The 7955-nt window shown below is 40.0% G+C and overlaps 1 long non-coding RNA gene across 1 annotated transcript in view; it reads right to left on the bottom strand.

Annotated features, from left to right (window-relative positions):
- Positions 1 to 483: 483 nt before the first annotated feature.
- Positions 484 to 7955, bottom strand: part of LOC105374430 (uncharacterized) — a 29063-nt gene continuing 21591 nt past the window's right edge. Inside the window, exon 3 of the long non-coding RNA XR_925263.3 lies at positions 484 to 852. This is a non-coding gene — a long non-coding RNA (uncharacterized LOC105374430). The remainder of the gene's footprint in view (positions 853 to 7955) is intronic.

The raw sequence follows: 7955 nt of genomic DNA, 5'->3' as shown, positions 1-7955 counted from the left end.
TAAGTGCTTTTATTTTGAAATTCCAGTATCATAGGAACTAAAACTCAAAGTAGAAATCCCCCAAACTAGATTCCATTAATAACGTGTCACTCAACTTGAATACTAGAAATATTTCTTTAAACATAAGCACTGTTTTTTACTGGAAAAAGCTTTGTAAGACCAGTTTCCTCTTCTGGAGGGACCAGGGAAAATGAAAAGTGATCATCAATAATCAGTACCTGTCTTTTTTTTTTTTTTTTTTTTTTTTTTTTGGATGATTTCTCACTCTGTCACCCAGGTTGGAGTGCAGTGGTTCAATCTCAGCTCACTGCAACTTCAGCCTCCCAAGTTCAAGTGATTCTCCTGCTTCAGCCTCCCAAGTAGCTGGGATTACAGGTGTGTGTCACCACGCCCAGCCAATTTTTGTATTTTTAGTACAGACGAGGTTTCACCATGTTGGCCAGGCTGCTCTTGAACTCCCTGACCTCAGGTGATCCACTTGCCTCGGCCTCCCAAAGTGCTGGGATTACAGGTGTGAGCCACTGCGCCCTGCCAGTACCTGTCATTTTAATGGAGGAGCATCGCCTTCATCTGCCACTCGCCACCTCTCTTCCTGAGTCATGTGGGAATAGCACTTAATGGAGAATATCTCCAAATTGCATCAATGTTGTAGATTTGGCTAGGGTTAACAGCCCATTTGTGTTCTTTGCATAAATTATAGAAAGGCCCTCTGGGCAGAAGCCTCTTGATCCACGTGAAGCATCTGCTCCCAGTGCATGGCTTGGCAATCCGTTTGGCCCCATTTTCTTCTTGGCTAGGAGCCAGTGTGCAGGGTACATCCTGTCCAGTAGTTCACGGTGACACTGTTTGCACCTGAAAGATCAAGATGGTTTGCCTCAAATTCTGAAAAATCCAAACTCTGAAACATTTTCTCCAGCTAAGTGAGCTGCACAGGACAATGTATCCCCCAGATATACACACTTAAATGGAAGAATGATGAAAAAGTTGAAGAAATAAATTCTTGGGAGCTTGATTTAAAGTAACAGATTTGTTTTGAAGTTTTGCAGATACACTTCTAATATCCAAACCACTTACTCAACCACAGATTTGGTCTTTTTCTGGGTTTTCCCAGCACTAAGAAGACATAATTTTCAAGAAAACCAGAAGGGGCATAGCTGGAAATTCATTACACTCAGCTTCTCTAATTTTTCTTAATTTCCACTTTATAAATAATCCTAAATTACTTTTCCCAGTTTTTCTTGTTTTCCTACACATACTTTTAAAATATATGTACATTATTAATTCATAAGAGCAAGTCTAAATGATCATGAAGTGACTTTTTAAAATAATTTTTAAATGACATTTTTATCAAAATAGTAATTTACCACTTTTAATCCCAATTCATCCACTGTATCACAAAATTTACTTTCTCACAATTCATTGTGTTTATATTTTGCACATATTCTGAAAGTTGCTTCCAATTGTTGTGATTTGTTTTCTCAATTTTATTCAAGAAACAAAAGAGATCATTTGCATCTTAGTTATTTATTTTCCCCATAGCAATATTAAACAATATTAGCAATATTAAAACCTGATGATGACTCATATTGTCACAGAAAATACATTTATGCACCACATAACAACATTTCAAAGATGGACCACATAGGTTATAATGGAACTGAGAATTTCCTATCGCCCAGTGACGTTGCAGCCATTGCTAACAGTGTAGCACAACACATTATTCTTGTGTGATGCTGGTGTAAACAAACCTACTGCACAGCTAGTTTTATAAAAGTCTAGCACATACAATTATTATTACAGAATGTATACAATTATTACATCATGTAATTATGTAATTACTACTTATTACTACGTTATGTAATAAATTATGTACATGATAATGATAATAAACAACTATGTTACTGGTTACTATATCTTCATTGCTAGAGTGTATTCCTTCTATTTATATTTGTATAAAGTTAACTGTAAACAGCCTTCAGTAGGTTTTCCAGAAGAAGGAATTGTTATTGGAGATGACAGCTTCCATGTGGGTTATAATTGCTGAAGACTTTCCAGTGTGACAGGATATGGAGGTGGAAGACATTGATATTGAGGATCCTGACCCTGTGTAGGTTTAAGCTAATGTGCATGTTTGTGTCTTAGTCTTTAACAAAAACACTTTAAAAAGTAAAAAATAAAAATTTTAAAAATAGAAAAAAGCTTGTGGAATGAGGATACAAAGAAATAAAATATTTTTATACAGCTGTATGAAGTGTTTGTGTTTTGAGCTAAGTGTCACTACAAAAGAGTGAGAAAGTTTTTTAAAATTAAAAAGTTGAGGAGGTGGAGCCAAGATGGCCGAATAGGAACAGCTCCAGTCTACAGCTCCCAGCATGAGTGACACAGAAGACGGGTGATTTCTGCATTTCCAACTGAGGTACTGGGTTCATCTCACTGGGGAGTGCTGGACAGTGGGTGCAGGACAGTCGGCACAGCGCACCGTGCATGAGCCAAAGCAGGGCGAGGCATCACCTCACACAGGAAGTGCAAGGGGTCAGGGAATTCCCTTTCCTAGTCAAAGAAAGGGGTGACAGATGGCACCTGGAAAATTGGGTCACTCCCACCCTAATACTGCGCTCTTCCAATGGGCTTAACAAACAGCACACCAAGAGATTATATCCTGCACCTGGCTCAGGGGGTCCTATGCCCACGGAGCCTCGCTCATTGTTAGCACAGCAGTCTGAGATCAAACTGCAAAGCAGCAGCGAGGCTGGGGGAGGGGTGCCCGCCATTGCCCAGGCTTGAGCAGGTAAACAAAGAGGCCAGGAAGCTCGAACTGGGTGGAACCCACCAGAGCTCAAGGAGGCCTGCCTGCCTCTGTAGGCTTCACCTCTAGGGGCAGGGCACAGACAAACAAAAGACAGCAATAACCTCCACAGACTTAAAGGTCCCTGTCTGACAGCTTCAAAGAGAGTACTGGTCCTCCCAGCACGCAGCTTGAGATCTGAGAACTGGCAGACTGCCTCCTCAAGTGGGTCCCTAACCCCCGAGTAGCCTAACTGGGAGGCACCCCCCAGTAGGGGCAGACTGACACCTCACACGGCCGGGTACTCCTCTGAGACAAAACTTCCAGAGGAACGATCAGGCAGCAGCATTTGCGGTTCACCAATACCCGCTGTTCTGCAGCCACCACTGCTGATACCCAGGCAAACAGGGTCTGGAGTGGACCTCCAGTAAACTCCAACAGACCTGCAGCTGAGGGTCCTGACTGTTAGAAGGAAAACAAACAAACAGAAAGGACATCCACACCAAAAACCCATCTGTACGTCACCATCATCAAAGACCAAAGGTAGATAAAACCACAAAGATGGGGAAAAAACAGAGCAGAAAAACTGGAAACTCTAAAAATCAGAGCACCTTTCCTCCTCCAAAGGAACGCAGCTCCTCACCAGCAACGGAACAAAGCTGGATGGAGAATGACTTTGATGAGTTGAGAGAAAAAGGCTTCAGAAGATCAAACTACTCCGAGCTAAAGGAGGAAGTTCAAACCAATGGCAAAGAAGTTAAAAACTTTGAAAAAAATTAGACGTATGGATAACTAGAATAACCAATGCAGAGAAGTCCTTAAAGGACCTGATGGAGCTGAAAACCATGGCACAAGAACTACGTGACGAATGCACAAGCCTCAGTAACTGATGCAATCAACTGGAAGAAAGGATATCAGCGATGGAAGATGAAATGAATGAAATGAAGCATAAAGGGAAGTTTAGAGAAAAAAGAATACAAAGAAATTAACAAAGCCTCCAAGAAATATGGGACTATGTGAAAAGACCAAATCTACCTCTAATTGGTGTACCTGAAAGTGATGGTGAGAAAGGAACCAAGTTGGAAAACACTCTGCAGGATATTATCCAGGAGAACTTCCCCAGTGTAGCAAGGCAGGCCAACATTCAAATTCAGGAAATACAGAGAACACCACAAAGATACTCCTCGAGAAGAGCAACTCCAAGACACATAACTGTCAGATTCACCAAAGTTGAAATGAAGGAAAAAATGTTAAGGGCAGCCAGAGAGAAAGGTTGGGTTACCCACAAAGGGAAGCCCATCAGACTAACAGCTTATCTCTCGGCAGAAACTCTACAAGCCAGAAGAGAGTGGGGGCCAATATTCAACATTCTTAAAGAAAAGAATTTTCAACATAGAATTTCATATCCAGCCAAACTAAGCTTCATAAGTGAAGGAGAAATAAAATACTTTACAGACAAGCAAATGCTGAGAGATTTTGTCACCACCAGGCCTGCCCTAAAAGAGCTCCTGAAGGAAGCGCTAAACATGGAAAGGAAAAACCGGTACCAGCCACTGTAAAAACATGCCAAATTGTAAAGACCATCAAAGCTAGGAAGAAACTGCATCAACTAATGAGCAAAATAACCAGCTAACATCATAATGACGAGATCAAATTCACACATAACAATATTAACCTTAAATGTAAATGGGCTAAATGCTCCAATTAAAAGGCACAGACTGGCAAATTGGATAAAGAGTCAAGACCCATCAGTGTGCTGTATTCAGGAAACCCATCTCACGTGCCCAGACACACATAGGCTCAAAATAAATGGATGGAGGAAGATCTACCAAGCAAATGGAAAACAAAAAAAGGCAGGGGTTGCAATCCTAGTCTCAGATAAAACAAACTTTAAACCAACAAAGATCAGAAGAGACAAAGAAGGCCATTACATAATGGTAAAGGGATCAATTCAACAAGAAGAACCAACTATCCTAAATATATATGCACCCAATACAGGAGCACCCAGATTCATAAAGCAAGTCCTGAGTGACCTACAAAGAGACTTAGACTCCCACACAATAATAATGGGAGACTTTAACACCCCACTGTTAACATTACACAGATCAACGAGACAGAAAGTTAACAAGGATATCCAGGAATTGAACTCAGCTATGCACCAAGCAGACCTAATAGACATCTACAGAACTCTCCACCCCAAATCAACAGAATATACATTCTTTTCAGCACCACACCACACCAATTCCAAAATTGACCACATACTTGGAAGTAAAGCACTCCTCAGCAAATGTAAAAGAACTGAAATTATAACAAACTGTCTCTCAGACCACAGTGCAATCAAACTAGAATTCAGGATTAAGAAACTCACTCAAAACCACTCAACTACATGGAAACTGAACAACCTGCTCCTGAATGACTACTGGGTACATAACGAAATGAAGGCAGAAATAAAGATGTTCTTTGAAACCAAGGAGAACAAAGACACAACATACCAGAATCTCTGGGACACATTCAAAGCAGTGTGTAGAGGGAAATTTATAGCACTAAATGCCCACAAGAGAAAGCAGGAAAGATCTAAAATTGACACCCTAACATCACAATTAAAAGAACTAGAGAAGCAAGAGCAAACACATTCAAAAGATAGCAGAAGGCAAGAAATAACTAAGATCAGAGCAGAACTGAAGGAAATAGAGACACAAAAAACCCTTCAAAAACTCAGTGAATCCAGGAGCTGGTTTTTTGAAAAGATCAACAAAATTGAAAGACCACTAGCAAGACTAATAAAGAAGAAAAGAGAGAAGAATCAAATAGACGCAATAAAAAATGATAAAGGGGATATCACCACCAATCCCACAGAAATACAAACTACCATCAGAGAATACTATAAACACCTCTATGCAAATAAACTAGAAAATCTAGAAGAAACGGATAAATTCCTTGACACATACACTCTCCCAAGACTAAACCAGGAAGAATTGGAATCTCTGAAAAGACCAATAACAGGATCTGAAATTGAGGCAATAATGAAGAGCTTACCAACCAAAAAAAGTCCAGGACCAGATGGATTCACAGCCGAATTCTACCAGAGGTACAAGGAGGAACTGGTACCATTCCTTCTGAAACTATTCCAATCAATAGAAAAAGAGGGAATCCCTAACTCATTTTATGAGGCCAGCATCATCCTGATACCAAAACCTGGCAGAGACACAACAAAAAAAGAGAATTTTAGACCAATATCCTTGATGAACACTGATGCAAAAATCCTCAATAAAATACTGGCAAACTGAATCCAGCAACACATCAAAAAGCTTATCCACCATGATCAAGTGGGCTTCATCCCTGGGATGCAAGGCTGTTCAACATACAAAAATCAATAAATGTAATCCAGTATATAAACAGAACCAAAGACAAAAACCACATGATTTTCTCAATAGATGCAGAAAAGGCCTTTGACAAAATTCAACAACCTTCATGCTAAAAACTCTCAATAAATTAGTTATTGATGGGACGTATCTCAAAATAATAAGAGCTATGTATGACAAACCCACAGCCAATATCATACTGAAGGGACAAAAACTGGAAGCATTCCCTTTGAAAACTGGCACAAGACAGGGATGCCCTCTCTCACCACTCCTATTCAACATAGTGTTGGAAGTTCTGGCCAGGGCAATCAGGCAGGAGAAGGAAATAAAGGGCATTCAATTAGGAAAAGAGGAAGTCAAATTGTCCCTGTTTGCAGATGACATGATTGTGTATCTAGAAAACCCCATTGTCTCCGCCCAGAATCTCCTCAAGCTGATAAGCAACTTCAGCAAAGTCTCAGGATACAAAATCAATATGCAAAATCACAAGCATTCTTATACATCAATAACAGACAAACAGAGCCAAATCATGAGTGAACTCCCATTCACAATTGCTTCAAAGAGAATAAAATACCTAGGAATCCGACTTGCAAGGGATGTGAAGGACCTCTTCAAGGAGAACTACAAACCACTGCTCAATGAAATAAAAGAGGATACAAACAAATGGAAGAACATTCCATGCTCATAGGTAGGAAGAATCAATATGAAAATGGCCATACGGCCCAAGGTAATTTATAGATTCAATGCCATCCCCATCAAGCTAACAATGACTTTCTTCACAGAATTGGAAAAAACTACTTTAAAGTTCATATGGAACCAAAAAAGAGCCCACATTGACAAGTCAATCCTAAGCCAAAAGAACAAAGCTGGAGGCATCACGCTACCTGACCTCAAACTATACTACAAGGCTACAGTAATCAAAACAGCATGGTACTGCTACCAAAACAGAGATATAAACCAATGGAACAGAACAGAGGCCTCAGAAATAATGCCACATATCTACAACTGTCTGATCTTTGACAAACCTGACAAAAACAAGAAATGGGGAAAGGATTCCCTATTTAATACATGGTGCTGGGAAAACTGGCTAGCCATATGTAGAAAGCTGAAACTGGATCCCTTCCTTACACCTTATACAAAAATTAATTCAAGATGGATTAAAGACTTAAACGTTAGACCTAAAACCATAAAAACCCTAGAAGAAAACCTAGGCAATACCATTCAGAACATAGGCATGGGCAAGGACTTCATGTCTAAAACACCAAAAGCAATGGCAACAAAAGACAAAACTGACAAATTGGATCTAATTAAACTAAAGAGCTTCTGCACAGCAAAAGAAGCCACCATCAGAATGAACAGGCAACCTACAGAATGGGAGAAAATTTTTGCAACCTACTCATCTGACAAAGGGCTAATATCCAGAATCTACAATGAACTCAAACAAATTTACAAGAAAAAAAAACAAACAACCCCATCAAAAAGTGGGCAAAGGATATGAACAGACACTTCTCAAAAGAAGACATTTATGCAGCCAACAGACATATGAAAAAATGCTCATCATCACTGGCCATCAGAGAAATGCAAATCAAAACCACAATGAGATGCCATCTCACACCAGTTAGAATGGCGATCATTATAAAGTCAGGAAAAAACAGGTGCTGGAGAGGATGTGGGGAAACAGGAACACTTTTACACTGTTGGTGGGACTGTAATCTAGTTCAACCATTGTGGAAGTCGGTGTGGCGATTCCTCAGGGATCTGGAACTAGAAATACCATTTGACCCAGCCATCCCATTACTGGGTATATA

This window comes from Homo sapiens, chromosome 4 (assembly GCF_000001405.40).
Source record: "Homo sapiens chromosome 4, GRCh38.p14 Primary Assembly".
In the NCBI taxonomy this organism is placed as follows: Eukaryota; Metazoa; Chordata; class Mammalia; order Primates; family Hominidae; genus Homo; species Homo sapiens.
This window is presented reverse-complemented; position numbering and strand designations above follow the sequence as displayed.